The 21,973-nt window shown below is 38.9% G+C and overlaps 1 protein-coding gene, 1 long non-coding RNA gene and 1 pseudogene across 10 annotated transcripts in view; 2 read left to right on the plus strand and 1 right to left on the minus strand.

Annotated features, from left to right (window-relative positions):
• The window catches only part of FAM149B1 (family with sequence similarity 149 member B1), a 76,386-nt gene that overhangs the window by 12,733 nt on the left and 41,680 nt on the right, over nucleotides 1–21,973 (plus strand). For all 8 annotated transcript variants that reach the window (NM_173348.2, XM_005269744.3, XM_047425143.1 and 5 more), the window contains 2 exons: nucleotides 11,705–11,847; nucleotides 12,626–12,742. In NM_173348.2, the coding sequence (NP_775483.1) occupies nucleotides 11,705–11,847; nucleotides 12,626–12,742 (260 nt within the window). The remainder of the gene's footprint in view (nucleotides 1–11,704; nucleotides 11,848–12,625; nucleotides 12,743–21,973) is intronic.
• On the minus strand, nucleotides 1,599–5,903 carry LOC105378358 (uncharacterized). 2 transcript variants are annotated; one of them, XR_007062193.1, is made up of 4 exons: nucleotides 5,558–5,903; nucleotides 5,229–5,302; nucleotides 2,584–2,725; nucleotides 1,599–2,250 (listed from the first exon to the last, which is right to left on the minus strand). It is a non-coding gene; the product is annotated as an uncharacterized LOC105378358 (long non-coding RNA). The 2 variants fall into 2 exon arrangements; XR_001747499.3 differs by having other exon boundaries at nucleotides 5,229–5,903.
• EIF4A2P2 (eukaryotic translation initiation factor 4A2 pseudogene 2) lies at nucleotides 19,504–20,574 on the plus strand (annotated as a pseudogene).

Genomic DNA, 21,973 nt, shown 5'->3' on the forward strand with positions numbered 1-21,973 from the left:
ATTCTTTCTGTTTTTTTTGTACCCAATAACCACCCCATCTCCCCAATCCTCACCCCCCCACTACCCTTCCCAGCCTCTAGTAATCATAAATTTCATTAATTTCTACCCTGATCTTTATTATTTATTTTGGGTTTGGTTTGCTCTTGCTTTTCTAGTTCTTTTTTTTTTTTTTTGAGACGGAGTGTCGCATTGTCACCCAGGCTAGAGTGCAGTGGCACGATCTCGGCTCACTGCAAGCTCCGCCTCCCGGGTTCACACCATTCTCCTGCCTCAGCCTCCCAAGTAGGTGGGACTACAGGTGCCTGCTACCACACCCAGCTAATTTTTTGTATTTTTTTTAGTAGAGACAGGGTTTCACCACGTTATCCAGGATGGTCTCGATCTCCTGACCTCATGATCCGCCTGCCTTGGCCTCCCAAAGTGCTGGGATTATAGGCGTGAGCCACCACACCCAGCTGCTTTTCTAGTTTCTTTTAAGATGTATCATTAGATTGTTCATGTGAAGTTTTTTCTCTTTTTTGTTGTAGGCACTTACAGCTGTAAACTTCCCTCCTAGTATTGCTTTTGCTGTTTCCCATAGGTTTGGATATGTTGTGTTTCTAGTATCATTTGTTTCAAGAAATTTTTCAGTCTCCTTAATTTCTTCATTGACCCACTGGTCATTCAGGGGGAACTTGTGTAATTTCCATGTGTTTATATAGCTTTCAAAATTCCTCTTGTTATTAATTTCTAGTTTTGTTCCATTGTGGTCAGAGAAGATGCTTGATATTATTTCAGTTTTTTTGGTCTTAAGACTTGTGTTGTGACCTAACATATGGTCCATCCTTGAGAATGATCAATGTGCTGAGGAAAAGAATGTGTATTCTGCAGCTGTTAGGCGAAATCTTCTGTAAATATGTTAGATCCATTTGGCGTGTAGTGCAGATTAAGTCTGATGTTTCTTTGTTGATTTTGTCTGGAAAATCTGTGCAATGCTGAAAGTTGGGTGTTGAAGTCTCCAACTCTTATTGTATTGGGACCTATATCTCTCTTTAGCTCTCATAATATTTCCTTTATATATCTGGGTGCTCCAGTGTTGGGTTCATATATGTTTAAATTTGTTATATGTTCTTGCTGAATTGATCTCCCTTTATCATTATATAGTGACCTTCTTTATCTCTTCTTATAGTTTCTGTCTTGAAATCTGTTTTGTCTGATACAAGTATAGCTACTTGTGCTCTTTTTTGGTTACCATGGGTATGGAATATCTTTTTCCATCCCTTTATTTTCAGTCTGTATGTGTCTTTATAGGTGAAGTGTGTTTCTTGTAGGCAACAGATCAATGGGTCTTGTTTTTTCATCCATTCACCCAGTCTGTGTCTTTTTTTTTTTTTTTTTTTTTAAATGGAGTTTAGCTCTTGTAGCCCAGGCTAGAGTGCAGTGGCACAATCTCGGCTCACTGCAACCTCTGCCTCCTAGATTCAAGTGATTCTCCTGCCTCAGCCTCCTGAGTAGCTGGGATTGCAGTTTTGCACCACCATGCCTGGCTAATTGTATTTTTAGTAGAGACGGGGTTCTGCCTTGTTGGCCAGGCTGGTCTCGAACTCCTGACCTCAAGTGATCTGCCCACCTTGGCCTCCCAAAGTGTTAGGATTACAGGCATGCGCCACTGCACCCAGCCTTGCTGCATGACTTTCTAGGTTAGAAAGCAACACAGCTTCTGGCTGGCTCTTTCCATCTCTCTCATCTGAATGGTGGACCTCAGAATCCAGCCATCATATTGCGAGGAAGTTCAGACCACATGAAAAGGCTCATGTAGAGAGGAATTAAAGCCCCAGTTGAAAGCCAGCATCAGCTGCCAGACATGTGAGTAAATGAGCATTAAGATGTTTTCAGCTCCCAGCCTTTGAGTCTTCTGACTAAGGCCTCAGATATTGTGGAGCAGAGATAAGCCATTCCTGCTGTGCCTCTATATAAATTCCTGACCCACATAAACCCGGAGAGATAATACATGATTATTGTTGTTTTAAGCTATTAAGTTTTGCAGTAATTTGTTACACTGCCAGAGTAACTGAAGCACTCCTCTCTTGCTGCTTAAGGTCATAAAAACTGCTTAGGCACTCTCTTACCTTTCTTGGGCTCCTATCGCACACCAGGCCTTCCTCCTGTACAGATCCCCTCCTGTTGTCTCTGTCTCCCTGCCTGGGGACAATTTTCTGACTGTGTAAGAGTGAACTAGAGTCCAAGCAAAGCAATGGTGGTCCCACTGTGCTGAGGAGCAGAGACGAGAGTTCAGGGTAGAGGAAGAGAAGAGAACCAGAAATTAATTAATGGGTGAATATAAAAGTCTATATTTTTTATCTGATTTCTTTAAAGGACAACTGACTGATTAAAGCAAAATATATGCTTGTATTTAATATGTATATGATATATAAAGTGTGTGTCTGAAATGTGTCTAAAATGTATAAAGAGGGAGTTTATACTTGTAGAAGTAAATATAGCTCAAATAATGGGTGACTATAAGTGGAATTATACTTTTATAAGGTTATTATATTTGTGGATTATTGTAAAATTATTCAAGAAATTAAATGAAACAGTTCTCACACAGAGAAAGCTCTAGGCCCAGGTGAATTCTCTCATCCATTTGTGGAAGAAATAACAATGATGCAAACTTTTTTCCAAAAAGTATAAGGAATACTTCTCAATTCAGTTCATAATAAGGTCAGCAGAGTCTTGATGCTAAAACCTGAGAAAGACAATGTAATAACAAAAAATTATGAGGTGGGACTTTTAGTATCAGAATAAATAGCTCGGCAAATCCTCCTCCCCAAAAGCAACAATGAAACTGGACAAAATGGTGAGGTGCAACTGTTTAAAGGCTTTGCAAATTGACAAAAAGCATATAACAAATAAAGAAGCAATTATTCATGAAAATCAATAGAACTTTGGGTTAAGAACAGTGAGAGACTATTCTACTACAGAGGGACACGCTGTGAAAACTAGCAGCCTCACTGTTGGAGAAGGCTCAGTAGGTTTGGAGTGAACCTGGAGAGACCCTATGCCCAACAGCATGTAAGTAACAGTAGTAAACTTGGTAGGAAAAACAGTTGCTCAGATAGCTTGAGGTTTTAGTCCTGGCTGGGACAAACAATGGATTGGCAAACTATCCAGGAATTTATTAAGGATATCTGGGAAATAAGACGGTCACAGGAGGCCTTGATAAGCTTTCCACACATCCACACAGGACTGACTAAGCTATCTACACATCCCTGGCTGACCGTGAGTCAGCTTGCAAATGCAGAGAAGATACAAGAGGGCATCCAGAAATTAAAATCAGATGCAAAAACTGCTTGAATTTGAACTAAGACAAAATAAACTTTAAAAGAAAAAATACTACTAGAAACAAAGAGGGACATTTTATAATGATAAAAGGGTCAATTCATCAGGAAAATATAGTAGTTATAAATGTAACATCTAATAACCAAGTCTTAAAGTTGGTGAAGCAAAAAATGACTGAATGGAAAGGAGAAATATTGTAGCAATTATAGCTGGAAACTTTAATACCCCACTCTCAATACTTGTAGACCACCTAGACAGAAAATCAGCAAGGATATTAAACACCTGAACAGTACTATCAACCAACCTGACCTAACTGACATCCCACCCAGTGACAGCAGTGTAGATACTCTTCAAGCACACATAAAGCAAGTTTTTTAACTATAAAAAGATTTAAATTATACAAGGTATGTTCTCCAGCCACCTTGGAATTAAATTATAAATCAACAACATACAGTTGGGATATCCTCAAATATTTGGCAATTAAACATCACTCTTCTAAATAACCCATGGGTTGAAAAAGGAATCTATAAGGGAAAGTAGAAAATATTTTGAACTGAAAGAAAAGGGAAAAGCAAAATATAAACATTTATGGGATGCAGCTAGGAGGAAATGAATAGCTTTAAATGTCTACAGAAAAACAGGGATGTCTCAATAATTTGTTTCCACCTTAAGAAACTAAAGAAGAACAAACTAAATCCAAAGCAAAGCAGAAAGAAGGAAATAATACAGATAAGATAGAAATTAATAAAACAGAAAAACAATAGAGAAAATAAAGTCAAAAGCTGTTTCTTTGAAAAGAAGTCAGTAAATTGACAAATCATTAGTTGGTTTGATCAAGAAAGAAGAGAGATTGACATGATCAGGAATGAAAGAGAGGGCATAACTCAACCCTACAGAAAGTACTCTGAGAATTCAGTAAACAATGGCAACAAATTAGATAACTTAGATGTAATGGACAAATCCCTAGAAAGACATAAATTAACAAATTGACTTAAAGAAAAATTAAAAATTTAAACAGCTCCATACCAATCTAATTGGGTTATTTCTATCTATGTAATTTCTATTTAAATAAACTAAATTAATAATTAAAAATCTTTCAGCTGATCACAGTGGCTCATGCCCATAATCTCAGCACTTTGGGAGGTAAGGAGGGAGGATCACTTGAACCCAGTAGTTTGAGACCAGCCTGAGCAACATAGTGAGACCCCATCTCTATGAAAACTAAAACAATTAGCCAGGTATGGTGGCACGTGCCTTTAGTCCCAGGTACTTGGGAGGCTGAGGTGGGAGAATCGCTTGAGCCTGGGAGGTCAAGGCTGCAGTGAGCCATGATCACACTACTGCATTCCACTGGGCAACAGAGTGACTCTGTCTCAACAAATAAACAAATACAAAATCTTCCCACAAAGAAGTCCAGGCACAGATGCGCTAGTAAACTCTATCAAATATTTAAATTCTAGTAAACTTTATCAAATATTTAAAGAAGAAATCAGACTCAGAAAATCAAAGAACACTTTCCAATTCATTCTATGAGACCAGTATTACACTGATACCAAAACCAAAGACAAGAATTCTTCATATAAGAGATTCTAAGGAATAGAAGGAAAAGAAAAGAAAAAAATTAGAACTGATATATGAATTTAACAATGCCACAAGGTGCAAGATCAATATGTAAAAATCAACTTATTTCTATATACACTTAAATATTTAAAGAAGAAATAATACCAATCCCTCACAAACTCTTTCAGAAAAGAAAGAACAGTTCCTACCTAACTCATTCTATGAAGCCAGTATGACCTTGATACCAAAGTTAGTCATCACAAGAAAACTACAAACCAGTATGCCTCTTGAAATTAGACACAAAAACTTCATTAACAAACCAAATCTAGTCACATAAAAGGATTATTTACCCTGACCAAGTGAGTAAATAGGATTTATCCCAGGATTGCACGGCTGGTTCAACATTAGAAAAACAACTCTTCATCTGGGTAGACGGATGGTGAAAAAAAGAAAAACAACTAATTTAATACATTATATTAATAGAATAAAGGACAAAAATGACATGATCATCTTAACAGTAACATAGAAAAAACATTTGACAAAATCTAACACCCATTCATAATTAAAAAAACACTCAACATACAAGAAATAAAAGGGAATTTAATCAACCTGAAAGGTTGGGCATCTACAAAAAAGTTAGAACTAACGTTATTATATGTAACAAGAAAAGACTGGATACCTTCCCCTTAAGATTTAGAACAAGGTAAGGATGTCCACTCTTGCCACTTCTATTCAGCATTGTATTGGAGCTAGTGCAACAAGACAAAGAGAGGCATTCAAATTGAAGAGGAAGAAATAAAAATGTCTTTATTCACAGATACCATGATGTAAAGAAAATCCAGAAAATTTACATTCCCTGCATTACCACCCCCCAAATCTAATAGGACTAATAAATTAGTTCAGTTAGGTCACAGTATACAAGAACAATTTACAAAAATATGGTTTTCATACAATGCGATTATTATTCAGCCATAAAAATGAAAGAAGTTCCGATACATGTTACAACTTGGATGAACCTTCAAAACATGCTAAGTGAAAGAAGCCAGACATGACACATCACATATTGTTTGATTCCATTTATATGAATTGCCCAGAAGAGCAATTCCATAGAGACAGAAAGTAGATTATTGGTGGCCAGGGGCTGGGCAGAGAGAGGAATGGGGGATGACTGCTAATGGAAACAGTTTCTTTTAAGGGTGATAAAATATTCTAGAATTAAGATACTGGTGATAGTTGTACAACTGCGAATATACTAAAAACACTGAATTTGACAATTTAAAAGGGTGAATTTCATGGTGTGTGAATTATATCTAAATTTAAAAATTTGTATTTCTATACATTGGCAGTGAACAATCTGAAAATGAAAATTTAAAAATCACAATAGAATAAAAAAAGTTCTTAGCAATAAATTTAACAGAAGCAACACAAGACTTGTACATTGGAAATTTCAAAACATTGCTGAGAGAAATTAAAGAAGATCTAAATAAATGAAGAAAATTCCTTGTTCATGAATTGGAAGACAAAATATTAATAATATGGCATTTCTCCCCAAATTAATCTATATATCAGTGCACTCTCTATCAAAATCCTAGGAGACATTTTTATAGAAATTGATAAGCTCATCCTAAAATGTATATGCAATTGCAAAGGATCCAGATTAGTAAAAAAAAAAAAAAAAAAAAAAAATTGAAACAGAAATAGAAAATTAGAGGACATATGGCCAGGCGAGGTGGCTCACGCCTGTAATCCCAGCACTTTGGGAGGCCGAGGTGGGCGGATCACCTGAGGTCTGGAGTTCGAGACCAGCCTGACCAACATGGAGAAACCCCGTCTCTACTAAAATTACAAAATTAGCCGGGTGTGGTGGCGCAGGCCTGTAATCCCAGCTATTCCGGAGGCTGAGGCAGGAGAATGGCTTGAACCCAGGAGGTGGAGGTTGCTGTGAGCCGAGATCGCACCATTGCACTCCAGCCTGGGCAACAAGAGTGAAACTCTGTCTCAAAAAAAAATTAGAGGACATATACTACCACATCTCAAAACTTAATATCAAAACATTAGTCAGAACAGTGTGGGCAGGGCATGGTAGCTCATGCCTGTAATCCCAGCACTTTGGAAAGCCAAGGCGGGTGAATCACCTGAGGTCAGGAGTTCGAGACCAGCCTGGCCAACATGGTGAAACCCTGTCTCTATTAAAAATACAAAAATTAGCTGGGCACGGTGGTGCAGGCCTGTAGTCCCAGCTGCTCAGGAGGCTGAGGCAGGAGAATCACTTGAACCCAGGAGGCAGAGGTTGCAGTGAGCCAAGATTGTGCCACTGCACTCCAGCCTGAGTGACAGAGCATGACTCCGACTCAAAACAACAACAACAACAAAAACAGTGTGGTACTGACAAAAAGATGGACGTGTAGTCAATAGAACAGAATTGAGAGTCCAGAAATAAACTCTTACATTTAGGATCCATTGATTTTTGACAAAGGTACAAAGGCAATTCAATAGAAAAAGGATTTTTTTTCCTTAACAAATGTTGCTGGGACAATTGGATATCCATGTGCAAAAAGATGAATTCACATCATATAAAAAATTTGCTCAAAATGAATTATAAACTTAAATATAAGAGCAAAAACTATAAATCCCTTAGAAGAAAATGTATAATCAAATCAAGACCTTGGATTAGGCAACAAGTTCATAAATAGGACACACCAAAAGCATAAGCTACGAAAATGGATAAATTTAACTCCTTCAAAATTTACATCTTTTTTACTTTTACATACCTCATTAAGAAATGAAAGGACACCAGCCTGGCCAAGATGGTGAAGCCCCGTCTCTCTTAAAAATACAAAAAATTAGCCAGGCGTGGTGGCAGGCACCTGTAATCCCAGCTACTCTGGAGGCTGAGGCAGAGAATTGCTTGAACCTGGGAGGTGGAGGTTGCAGTGAGGTGCAGGAGGTCGTGCCACTGCACTCCAGCCTGGGCGACAGAGAGAGACTCTGTCTCAGAAAAAAGAAAAAAAAAAAGGAAGGAAGGAGGGAAGGAAGGAAGGAAGGAAGGAAGGAAGGAAGGAAGGAAGGAAGGAAGGAAGGAAAGGACAGATCACAGATTGGGAGAGAATATTTCCAATATCTGACTTGTATCCAAAGTATATAAAGAGCTCTTAAAACTCCATATTAAAAAGAAAAAAAAAGGCTAGACACAGTGGCTTGTGCCTGTAACCCCAACACTTTGAGAGGCTGAGGCCACCAGATCATTTGATCCCAAGTATTTGAGACCAGCCTAAGCAACAAAGTGAGACCCCCATCTCTAAAAAATAATTAATTAATTAATTAATTAAAAGGTGAAATAATGGGCAAAAGACTTGAAAAGACATTCCATGAAAGAAAAAGACATAAATGGCCACGTAGCATGTAGAAAGATGCTCCATATGATGAATTATAGAGAAAATGCAAATTGAAAACTGGGAAGATAACACCACTCCACATTTACAAAAATTGCTAAAATTAAAAAGACTGACAATACCTAGTACTGGAATGGATGTGGAGCAGGTTTAATGCTCACACATTTCTGGTAGGAGTGCTAAATTGTACATCCATCCTATAAAATAGTTTAGTAATTTCTTTAAACATACATTTATTATGTGACAGCAATTTCACTGCTAGCTATTATCCAAGAAAAATGAAAACATATGTGTAGAAAAAGACTTGTACATGAATGTTTATATCAGCTTTATTCATAACAAACAATATAAACAAATACTGAAAATAACATAAACGTCCCTTAACAGGGGAATGGATAAACAAATTGCAGCATAGTCTTAAAACAAAATACTTTTCAGCAATAGAATGTAATGAATAATTAATACATGCAATAACATGAATGAACCTCAAAAAGATTCTCCTGAATGAAGGAAGCCAAACACAAAAAGTGCATCCTGCACAATCCCAATTATATGAAGTTCTAGACCAGACAAAAGTAACTTACAGTGATAAAAATAAGTCAACATTTTGGAAAAGCTGCAAAGGAGTGTGAGGAGAAATGTTTTATATCTGGAAAGGAATGTTAGTTACTAGGGTGAATATTTTGTCAAATCTCATTTGCTGTACACTTAAATGTGCATTTTGTTGAATGTAAGTTATTCCTCAGTAAAGTTGATTAAAATTTTAAAGTCCTCAAAGAGTTAAAGGACAAGATAACATCTATTTAAATTATTAGAGGTTTTAAAACAAAGCAGGTAAAGATATTAACTTAAGAACAGGCAAATATGAAGAACCAGTTAAACATCTTCAAAATGAATAGCATTTGAAATATCTCAATATACAAGGTAAGCTGGACCCAGTGAAACAGATAGTAGCTAATTGAATGCTAGAACTAAGAAAATCACCTAGAACCAGGGAACTAAAGACAGAATTTGAAGAGTAGTTAGGAGACATGGAGGATGGATTAAGAAACTGCAATATATTTCTAACAGAAATTTTAGAGAATAAGAAAGAGGCAATGTTCAAAGAAGTAGTCACTGATTTTTTTTTTTTTTTAGACCCGAAGAAAGACATGTTTGAAAAGTCTATCAGGTGAAAGACAATTTTTTTAGAGAGGGGTCTTGCTATATTGTCCAGGTTGGAACACAATGGCTAGCCACAAGTGCCACCATGGTCCAGTATAGCCTCAAACTCTCGGGCTCAAGCAGTCCTCCTAACTCTGCTTCCTGATTGATTCACTGCGACTACAGGTGTCGGCCACCATCGCCAGCTTTGGACAAATTAAAAAACAAAAAACAAAAAAAAAACCCACTCCCAGACAGATAGATATAATTTTTATTGGGTAGGGGTTGACTTTCATTTTTAGGGTGAAAATACATTATTTTCAAACATAGATATGACTTTTCTCCCACTGGAACACTGGAATGTAAAAGGATGTGTAAATTTAGATGTAGTAGAGGATAAGCAAGGAATCTGAAGAAAATGATCAGATTTGCATTTTGTAACCATCCCTCTGACTGCTTTTTTTTTTTTTTTTTAAGAGATGAGGTCTCACTTGGTTACCCAGGCTAGCAGTAGCACAATCATAGCTCACTACAGCCTCGAACTCTAGGGCTCAAGTAGTCCTCCCACCTCAGCCTCCTGAGTAGCTGGGACTATAGGCACAGACCACCATGCCTGGCTAATTTTTTATTTTTTTTAGAGATGGCAGTCTTGTGATGTTGCCCAGGCTGGTCTCAAACTTCTGGCCTCAAGTGATCCTCCCCACTCAGCCTCCTGAGTTGCTGAGATTACAGGTGTGAACCTCCATGCCCAGCCCTCTGACTATTCTGGTTTTTGGCTTTTGTTTTCTTTTTTGAGACGGAGTTTTGCTTTTGTTGCCCAGGCTGGAGTGCAATGGCACGATCTTGGCTCACCACAACCTCCGCCTCCCGGGTTCAAGAGATTCTCCTGCCTCAGCCTCCCAAGTAGCTGGGATTACTGGCGTGAGCCGTGACGCCCAGCTAATTTTGTATTTTTAGTACAGGCAGGGTTTCTCCATGTCGGTCAGGCTGGTCTCGAACTCCTGACTTCAGGATCTCCCGCCTCGGCCTCCCAAATTGCTGGGATTACAGGCATGAGTCACCCGCCTTGGCCTTTTTTTTTTTTTTTTTGAGACGGAGTTTCATTCTTGTTGCCCAGGCAGGAGTGCAATAGCACAATCTCGGCTCACCGCAACCTCCGCCTCCCAGGTTCAGGCGATTCTCCTGCCTCAGCCTCTCAAGTAACTGGGATTACAGGCACCCGCCATCACACCCAGCTAATTTTTTTTATTTTTAGTAGAGACAGGGTTTCATCATGTAGGCCAGGCTGGTCTGGAACTCCTGACCTCAGGTGATCCACCCCACCTTGGCCTCGCAAAGTGCTGGGATTACAGGTGTGAGCCACTGTGCCTGGCCTGACTATTCTTAAAGGCTGGATTACAGAGGTCAAGGACATAAGTTGTCAATTGTCAAGTGAAAGATGCAGTATAAAAAGTAATATACACAGGGTTTTCCATCTAAAAAATAGTGAAACCAAGCAACTGTACTAAAATTAGCAATCTATCTTTGAACGGTGGAATTACAGGTAATTTTTATTTTTTCTTTATACTTTTCTGTATTTTTCAAAGTGTTTACAATTAATACTGTATATAAGAATATGTTACTTTTAAAAATATAGACTTTTTTTTTTTGAGACACAGTCTAGCTCTGTCACCCAGGCTAGAATAGAGTGCAATGGCACAATCTTGGCTTGCTACAACCTGTGCCTCCCAGGTCAAGCAATTCTTGTGCCTTAGCCTCCCAAGTAGCTAGGATTACTGGTGTGTACTACCACGCCTGGCTAATTTTTGTGTTTTTAGTACAGATGGAGTTTCACTATGTTGGCCAGGCTGGTCTTGAACTCCTGGCCTCAAGTGATCCACCCACCTTGGTCTCCCAAAGTGCTGGGTTTACAGGCGTGAGCTACCACGCCTGGCCTTTTTTTTTTTTTTTTTTTTTTTTTTAGGCTAATCAAGTGAAGCAGTAGGAGTGGAGAGGAAACAAAGAAATCCATAAAGTGGTTGTGATCAATTAGCTGTAAACACCACTGTACTTGGACCAGCCTAAAAAACAGACATTTATCTAAATTTTCTTTAAATATGAATGGAGAAGATACCTGAAAATTCCGAGATCTGAAAACTCACTAATTTAACTTTTCTTTCGTGGAAACACAGCAGTATTTCAAGTAGACTAAATATGTAAACAAAACAAGTCTTACTGCTTTTAATCTTTATAATTTTTAACAGAGAGTGAATCAGCTCACCTAAATATTTGGGGGGAATATTTTCTTCTAGGAACTCGATCAAAATGCCACTGAAAAAGTCCAGACAATGTTCACAGCCATTGATGAACTCTTGTATGAGCAGAAGTTGAGTGTGCATACCAAGAGTCTACAAGAAGAGTGCCAACAGTGGACAGCTAGCTTTCCTCACCTCAGGTACTGAAGCCCTCCAGTTGACTTGTATTCATGGCTAATACTAAAATTTAAAAAGTAGATTTAAAAAAAAAGCTTGTATTCTGAAATCTTTATGAGCATGACTTTAATGAATGTAAATAAGGCCATGTGGTATAAAGCCTTGGCTAAGAGAAAACTTAAGTTGGTAGAAGTTTCTTAGAGTTTCCTTAACTAACAATATGTGATCCTAATCAAGTAAAAACTATTTCTACAACAGCAGCTGAGGTCTGAGTATCTGAGTATCAAAAAGCCCTTCTTTTGAACAAGATGGTCAGAAAATGTACACTGTTGTATACAATTAAATTCTTATGTATACTTGAAACCAGACATAGGCTATTCAAGAGCTTCCTTCAGAAACTGCAGTAGTACCACTTATTGCACATACTCAAAATTTACAAAGCTTCACGTTTTTAAGAATATAATTCGTAGTTTTTACTAATTTGGCTGGGCCTCCATCCCATTTTGACTGATTTAATGAGGACTATTATAGAGCATGAAGGGCAGATTACAGATGTTTGCTTAGATTTCTTGTATTTTTTTTTTTAACAGCTGGGCTATAGGTTTATCTTTTCCATCTCCATTCTATGGAAGAGATATACCTGTAGTAAGGCTCTGGATTCACATTTTCTCATTCTTAATCAGTATCAGACTGTATACTGGACTTTTATGTTGAGCCATCAAATGTGTCCAAAATATATCTAGATTTTGTATGTATGCCAGTGAAGGTACTTAATTGTGTCTGTGTTTCTTCATTTTGAAGGATTCTAGGTAGGCAGATAATCACTCCAAGTGAAGGTTATAGATTGTATCCTAGATCCCCTTCTGCTGTTTCCGCTTCATATGAAACAACCTTGTCTCAAGAAAGAGATTCTACTATGTGAGTATTCCATTATGTAAGTACTTCAATGTGCCCTAATATGCAAGTATTATGTCCTACCAGTTGTATTAAGGGATTAAAATACTTCTTCCTACTTATTAGTATTTAGTAAAGCATAGCAAATTCTGTAAGATTGTCCATAGTCTTTGTGTATATTAAAATTTCATTATGTAATTTTGTTCAAAAAGTTAGACCTTTCCTGTAGTGGATTAGTCTGTTTTCTGTTGCTTGTAACAGAATACCTGAAACTGGGTAATTTATAAGGAAAAGGAAGTTATTTCTTACAGTTCTGGAGGCTGAGAAGTCCAAGGTCAAGGGGCAGGACCTTCTTGCTGGTGGGGATTCTCTGCAGGGTCCCAAGGCAGTACAGGGACTCACATGGCAAGGGGGCTGTACATGCTAATATGCCAACTCAGGTTTCTCTTTCTCTTATTATAAAGCTACCAGTTCCCCTTCCATGATAACCCATTAATCCATACATGGATTAAACCATTCATGAGGACAGAACTCCCGTGATCCAATTACCCCTTAAAGGCTCCACCTCTCAACACTGCCAAATTAGGTACTAAATTTCAGCGTGAATTTTGGAGGGGACAAATATTCAAACCATATAATAGTGCTTAAGGATATTCTTATTATTCAGGTCTATATATCTATATATATTTACATATATCCAAAAATATGGACACTTCCTTCTTGGCATAAATGTGTAAATAGAATGGTTTTTTAAAATGTCGAAGTCTAAGAAAAAGACTTTAAAACTTTTTTGAAAAAAAAGTTGAAAAAGTGATTTATTTTTTATTTATTTATTTTTTTTGAGACGGAGTCTTGCTGTCTCGCCCAGGCTGGAGTGCAGTGGCGCAGTCTTGGCTCACTGCAACCTCTGCCTCCTGGGTTCAAGTGATTCTTCTGCCTCAGCCTCCCGAGTAGCTGGGACTGCAGGTGTGTGCCACCATGCCCGGGATTTCACCATACTGGCCAGGCTGGTTTCGAACTCCTGACCTCATGATCCACCCGCCTCAGCCTCCCAAAGTGCTGGGGTTACAGGCATGAACCACCGCACCCAGACTTTTTTTTTTCTTTTTTCTTTTTTTTTCTCTTGAGACAGAATCTTGCTCTGTCACCAAGGCTGGAGTGCAGTGTGCAATGGTGCAATCTCAGCTCACTGTAACCTCCGCCTCCCAGGTTCAAGCAATTCTCCTGCCCCAGCCTCCTGATTAGCTGGGATTACAGGCGCCCAGCACCATGCCCGGCTAATTTTTGTATTTTTAGTAGAAACAGGGTTTCACCATGTTGGCCAGGCTGGTCTTGAACTCCTGACCTCAGGTGATCTGCCCGCCTCGGCCTTCCAAAGTGCTGGGATTACAGGTGTGAGCCACCACGCCCAGCCCAAAGTAGTTTTTAAATGGCAAAATCTTTTGAACACCTCAGACTTTTTAAATAGTAGCAAAATAAACCCAAATAGGATTACTTTGAAACCTATGCCTATACTTAAATCTACTGTAAAATATAATATCATAGTTTTAATTCATTTAAAAAATTATTCCTATACTTTTTCCCAGGGCTCCAGTTTTACTTATTTGATACCTTCCAATAGTTGTAGTAATACTTACTTTTGGTGCCTCCTTGGGCTTGTGGTAGTCTCACCAGACCACAAAGTGAAACATTACTGTTAGGGTTATGAGATTTGGGTTATCAACTGATTTTTGGTCAGATAATGATATTTGTTTGCTATTCCTGAAGTGATTTAAACTCAAGCTGCTGGTCATTAGGCATTCTTTTTAAATTTAAATCTCATGTATTATATCGATAAGTTTACTCCTTTTATATAATATAAAAAATTTTACAACCTAATGTCACCCACAGAAATGATGTATTCTTTCATTCTCTCTGATCAAAATTACATAACTCATATTCTGTTATTAGGATATATCGACCTAATCTGTTAGTGTAAACTTTATATGTGCCTTATTTTACAACTATCAATGGTAGGCCCATTTAGAAATTTAATCTTCAAGGAAATAAGAAATCAAGTCTGAGCAGTTAGTTCATCCTTTTTAGGACATCTGACTATATCACCATTCTGCAACATACTGCTAATACCCTTTCTTTCCTTTTTACTTGCTACCACCACTGTTGATTAGTCTTCCTATTTTTGGTGCTACTTTTCCTGGGATATTTGACTTACAGTTCTCAATAATTTTCTTTACTTACACAAGTAAAACAAATACCTATTTATACTTTATACACAGACATATACTTAGAAGAAACAAATTATCCAGGTATATTAGCACACCACTACTTATTGGAAGCCATAAAAATTAAACAAAATCTATGATATTTACTTCTTTAATGTAACAACTACTTTGTTCATACTTTATATTTTCACTCGAGTACCATTATGAACTCATAGCATTTCAAAATATTTATATATTTACTTAGCAATAATTAGTATTGATGCTCTAATTATTACAACTTAGCCACTTCAAGCTAGTACCTTTGGTTTTGTTTTGACTGTTTCTTTGTTTTCTGGTACAGTAGGATGTGCCAGGCCCATCCTTAACTTTTTCTTCCTTTAACATATGGAATCAGCTGAACTTTAAGGAGACTTACTTTGAGAGGCTCCTTACTTTAAGGAGACTCCTTTGAGAGGCTAATACAGTAGTATTAAAGAACCAAGTTGGGTGGTGAGGGTATGTAAGTTGTGCTACTGCTATTTTGCCCCCCACCCTTTTTTTTTTTTGAAGAGATGGGGTCTTGCTCTGTCACCCAGGCTGGAGTGCAGTGGCACAATCAGAGCTCACAGCAGCCTTGAGCTCCTGGCCTCAAGCAATCCTCCCACTTCAGCCTTCTGAGTAGCTAGGCTATTTTGCCACTTTTTGTTGTGAGACGTATGAAGAAAATGTGTCATTAATTCATTTTGATCTTACAGTTTAACAAATCAGGTTGTCATAAAATATAAGATTTATCAACCGCTAAGACTTTCTATAAAAATAACATTTCAAATTATATCCATTCTTGCCCTCTCCAATATATTCTCCACATTAAATCAGATTTTTTTTTAATTCAGGGTTGATCCTTCCTGTCTCCCACTTAAAAACTTTCAGTAGCTTTCCACTGAATTTAAGATAAAAGTCTAAAATTATATTATCAGCTGGCCCCTGCCTACTTCTCTAAGACATCTATCAGTCTCTCTCTCATTCATTAATCCTTCCAACACTGGCTTTCTTTCAGACCTCAAATGCATGAAACTAGGTATTTGGTTCAGTTCTCTAGGAGTTCTTGGGCCAGAAGAAAGTGCTAGAGTAAACAACATAGTAATACAGCATCTTCCTCTTTGTATCTGTAACACCTAGGACAGTGCCTGTAACATGGTTAGCAGTCAACTTGCTGCTTCCTTTTCTTTTTGGTTTTGTTTTTTGTTTTTTGAGACAGGGTCTTACTCTGTTGTACAGGCTGGAGTGCAGTGGTGCAATCACGGGGGACTGCAGCCTTGACCTCCTGGGCTCAAGCAATCCTCCCGCCTCAGCCTCCTGAGTAGCTGGGACCACAGGCGTGCTCCACCACATCTGGCTAATTTTTGTATTTTCAGCAGAGATGGGTTTCACCATGTTGCCCAGGCTGGTCTTGAACTCCTGGGCTCAAGTGATTTGCCCACCTTGGCTTCCCAAAGTGCTGGGATTACAGGCATGATCTGCCATGCCTGGCCACTCTTTTTTCTTAACTAAATAAAAGCAGATCATATTTACATTTTTTAAAAAACGACACAAAAATGAATTAATGTATGCATTGAAATTATGGTTGCAAAAGAGACTGATTAGTGTCTAGGTCAAAATGAAATTCCTCAGCACTGAAGACGGTGAGAAAAACAAACACACAAAAAGAAGAAATTCCAGCCAGGCACGGTGGCTCACGCCTGTAATCCTAGCACTCTAGGAGGCTGAGGCGGGTGGATCACTTAAGGTCAGGAGTTTGAGACCAGCCTGGCCAACATAGTGAAACCCCGTCTCTACTAAAAATATAAAAATTAGCCAGGTGTGGTGGCGCACGCCTGTAATCCCAGCTGCTTGGGAGGCTGAGGCAGGAGAATCCCTTGAACTCAGGAGGCAGAGGTTGCAGTAAGCTGAGATCACGTCACTGCACTCCAGCCTGGTGACAGAGCGAGACTGTCTCAAAAAAAAAAAGAAATTCCAGGAATTTAACAAAAGATGGTGGCAGCATACAGGGGAAACACAGGCCAGAAAAGGATCCTGAAGAGATGAGTTTGAAGACATTTCCACCTGAGAAAAACTATGCATTCTGCTACTTCAAGTTAGCTAAGGGGCTTATCTGTACTTAGATATATATCCCAACAAAAATAACTAACTATAATATCTAATGAGTGGCTAAAGTACATGACTACATGCTGAATTATAACCCTTTAAAAATCATTAAAAGAATGGAGAGCTCAAAAATAAACCCTTGCAATTATGGCCAAATGATTTTCAACAAGAGTGCCAAGACTACCTGGGTAAAGGACAGTCTCTTTAACAGATGGTGTTAGGGAAACTGGACACCCACATGCAGAACAACGAAGTTGGACCCTTACTTATACCATATACAAAAATTAACTCAAAATAGATCAAAGACCTAAATGTAAGATGTAAAACTGTAAAACTCCTAGAATAAAACATAGGGTAAAGCTTCAGGCCATTGGATTTGGCATTGATTTCTTGGATATAACACTAAAAGCACAGGCAACAAAAGCAAGAACAGACAAATGGTACTATATCAAAGGTAAACACTTCTGAACATCAAAAGAAGCAAAAGAATGAAAAGGCAATATGTGGAATGGGAGAAAATATTTGCAAATCATATCTGATGAGGAGTTTATATCCAGAATATATAAGAATAATCTATAACCTAACAACAACAAAAAATAGTAATTCAGGCTGGGCGTGGTGGCTCATGCCTGTAATCCCAACACTTTGAGAGGCCGAGGCTGGTGGATCACCTGAGGTCAAGTATTCAAGACCAGCCTGGCTAACATGGTGAAACCCCATCTCCACTAAAAATACAAAAATTAGCTTGGCGTGGCAGTGTGCACCTGTAATTCCAGCTACTCAGGAGGCTGAGGCAGGAGAATTGCTTGAACCCAGGAGGCGGAGGTTGCAGTGAGTCGAGTTCGCACCATTGCACTCCAGCCTGGGCGGCAAGAGTGAAACTCCATCTCAAAAAATAATAATAATAATTCAATTGAAAAATGGACAAAGGACTTGAATAGACGATTCTACACAGATATGCAAATGGCCAACAAGTGCCTGAAAAGATGTTAGGCAGGAAGGGTAGCTCTTGGCCACTTGTTCCTTCCAATCATCCTGGAGGGCCTTGCAGTAATCACTTTCATTAGAGATGCGGAACTCTACTTCCTAATGCCTACACCTGGAAGGACTGGTTCCAAATATAAACTCTTTGTATAAATAAGAAACCTAGCAAAGTCATTTTATCCTCCATGCATGTGGGAGAAGAATAAAGTTCTGTCACACAAGAAAACACATCTCTATTTAAATATAACTATAACTACCAGGGCAACACAGTATTAGGTAAGATAACTGTTATCCTTTTTTGTTGTTGTTGTTGTTGTTGTTGTTGTTGTTGTTGTTGAGATGGAGTCTCGCTCTGTCGCCCAGGCTGGAGTGCAGTGGCACAATCTCCGCTCACTGCAAGCTCCGCCCCCCAGGTTCATGCCATTCTCCTGCCTCAGCCTCCCGAGTAGCTGGGACTACAGGCGCCCACCACCACGCCCGGCTAATTTTTTGTATTTTTAGTAGAGACGGGGTTTCACTGTGTTTGCCAGGATGGTCTCGATCTCCTGACCTCATGGTCCACCCTCCTCAGCCTCCCAAAGTGCTGAGATTACAGGCGTGAGCCACTGTGCCTGGCCAATAACTGTTATTCTTTTTATTTGGTTGTTTGTTTTAGGAGACAGGGTCTCACTATGTTGCCCAGGCTGTCCTCAAACTCCTGAGCTCAAGAGATCCTCCTGCCTCAGCCTCCCAAATAGCTGGGACTATAGGCACATGCCACTGTACCCAGCCTATTCCTTTGTTAAATAAATGAATTACAGACATTATATAAATTAAAGGTTATTTTCCAGATATAGTAATATCCAAAGTCCAATGATTTAAAAGATTCCTTTGTTAAAAATAACATAGGCAGCTTTTCAGTCGGGTGCTAAGTCGTTTTTCACATCATGTCTGGTGGCTCCGTGGATTATAACAGCAGAGAACATGGAGACCCAGAGAGAATGGACCCTGATGGTGTCATCGAGAGCAACTGGAAGGAGGTTGTTGATAACTTTGATGATACAAACTTTAAAAAGTCTCTTCTTTGGGGTATCTATGCTTATGATTTCAGAAGCCTTCCGCTATTCAGCAGAGAACTATTATTCCCTGTATTAAAGATCCAAAAGGTGGCCAGGCGCAGTGGCTCATGCCTGTAATCCCAGCACTTTGGGAGGCCGAGGCGGGTAGATTACCTGAGGTCAGGAGTTCGAGACCAGCCTGGCCAACATGGTGAAACCCTGTCTCTACTAAAAATACAAAAATTAGCTGGGCATGTTGGCGCATACCTGTAATCCCAGCTACTCGGGAGGCTGAGGCAGGAGAATCATCGCTTGAACCTGGGAGGCGGAGGTTGCAGTGAGCCGAGATTGCACCATTGCACTCCATCCAGCCTGGGTGACAAGAGCGAAACTACATCGCAAAAACAAAACAAAACAAAAAATACCCAAAAGGTGATTCTGGCACTTGGAGATTATATGGGAGCAACCTGTCATGCCTGCATTGGTGGAACAAATGTTCAAAATGAATGCAAAAACTGCAGGCTGAAGTACCACATATTGTTGGTACACCAGGGAGAATGTGTGATATGTTAAACAGAAGATACCTTTTTTCCAAAATGGATCAAAATGTTTGTTTTGGATGAAGCAGATGAAATGTTCAGCCAAGGGTTTAAGGATCAAATCTATGAGATTTTCCAAAAATTAAATACAAGTATTTAGGTTGTGTTGCTTTCTGCCATGATGCCAACTGATGTGTTGGAAGTGACCAAAAAATTCACTAAAGATCCTATTCAAATTCTGGTGAAAAAGGAAGACTTGAACCTTGAAGGAATCGAACAGTTTTATATCAGTGTTGAGCAGGAGGAATGGAAGTTGGATATACTTTGTGACTTGTACAAGGCACCATTAAACAGGCTGTTATTTTTCTCAATACAAGGTGCAAGGTGGACTGGCTGACTGAGAAAATACATGCCAGGGACGTCACAGTTTTTGCTCTGCATGGCGACATGGACCAGAAGGAGAGAGATACTATCATGAGGGAATTCTGATCAGGGTCAAGCCCTGTTCTGATCACTATTTACTTGTTGGCACGTGGGACTGATGTCCAACAAGTGTCTTCGGTTATAAACTATGATCTACCTAGCAGTCATGAAAACTGTATTCGCAGAATTGGCAGAGGGGTCAATTTGGTAGAAAAGGTGTGGCTAAAAACTTTGTTACTGAGGAAGGCAAGAGGATTCTTCGTGACACTGAGATTTGTATGCAATACTACAGTGAAGGAAATGCCCATAAATGTAGCTGACCGTATTTAATTCCTGGGATGACAGAGTTTTGGATGCAGTGCTCCCTGTTGTTGAACAGACAATTACAATGTGCATTGTGCTTCTTTCTTTGGGAATATTTGAATCTTGTCTCAATTCTCATAACAGATCAGAAATACAGATTTTGATACCAAAGCAACATTAGTCGTGAGCTCTTGTGAGGAAAATCATTGGCTTTATCCTCTTTAGAGTTAAACTGTTAGGATAGGTATAAAAGATGAGTTCTAAAATTTTTCTTTCTTAGAAATTTATTTCCTAGTTCTGTAGAAATGGTAGTATTAGATGTTTTGTATTATTTAATAATGTATCTGGGGACTAAAAGATATAAGTGCTGTATAAAATCAGCCAATTACATTAAAGTAGCATACCTGCCCTTATTGTGTTTGTCATTAGCCTGAGTAGGAAGGCCTTTAAAATTGATTTTTTAGAAGGCATTCGAATGCATTTTATTTGGTATTGTATTTATGCAATCAAATATTTAATTAGTGCTAAGTGTGAACTGGACCCTATGGCTAAGCCCCAGCAAGCAATCATATCCTAAATAGGGTTAAATTCCCAGTAAAATTGCCATATTGCACATGTCTTAATGAAGTTTTAGTGTTAAATAAACTGTATATTCACTTAAGAAAAAAAAAAGGAAATAGCAGCCAGGAGCGATGGCTCACACCTGTAATCCCAGCACTTTGGGAGGGTGAGATGGGCAGATAACCTGAGGTCAGGAGTTTTAGACCAGTCTGGCCAACATGGTGAAACCCCGTCTCTACTAAAAATACAAAAATTAGCCAGGCGTGGTGGCACACACCTGTAATCCCAGCTACTGGGGAGGCTGAGACAGGAGAGTCACTTGAACCCTGGAGGTAGAGATTGCAGTGAGCCAAGATCACGCTACTGCACTCCAGCCTGGGCGACAGAGCGAGACTCTGTCTCAAAAACAAAAAGAAAGAAATAACATTTACAAAGACAACTTTATGGTGTAGAATACTATCTTATTTTTTGCTGCAGCTTTAGGGGAAATGGGAATATTTTTTCTTCTTATCTAGCTAAAATTTCTTTTAATAGTTATAAAGGCCTATAGTTGTTAGAAATTCCTATTTATTTTTCAACACAAAGAATTCCATTAGTTACCACTGACTAAAAATATAATTGGTTATAAGTGGAATAATACGATAGCAGAATAACGTAATGGAATGTTGGGTATACATTCCATATGTTTGATAGCTTTTTTTTTTTTGTTACCCAGGCTGCAGTGCAATGGCGTGATCTCTGCTCACTGCAACCTCTGCCTCCCAGGTTCAAGGGATTCTCCTTCCTCAGCCTCCCAAGTAGCTGGGATTACAGGTGTGAGCCACCACGCCTGGCTAATTTTTAGACATATTGGATCTCCAAACCGATTCCCTCCCTCCCTCCCTCCCTCCCAACCGCCCTTCATCCCTTCCCTCTTCCTTTTTTTGTTTTGTTTGTTTGTTTGTTTGAGACAGGGCCTCGCTTTGTCACCCAGACTGGAGTACAGTGGTGCAATCTCAGCTCATTACAGCCTTGATCTCCTGGGCTCAGGTGATCCTCCCACCTCAGCCTCCCGAGTAGCTG

Source organism: Homo sapiens, chromosome 10, assembly GCF_000001405.40.
Source record: "Homo sapiens chromosome 10, GRCh38.p14 Primary Assembly".
Taxonomy (NCBI): Eukaryota; Metazoa; Chordata; class Mammalia; order Primates; family Hominidae; genus Homo; species Homo sapiens.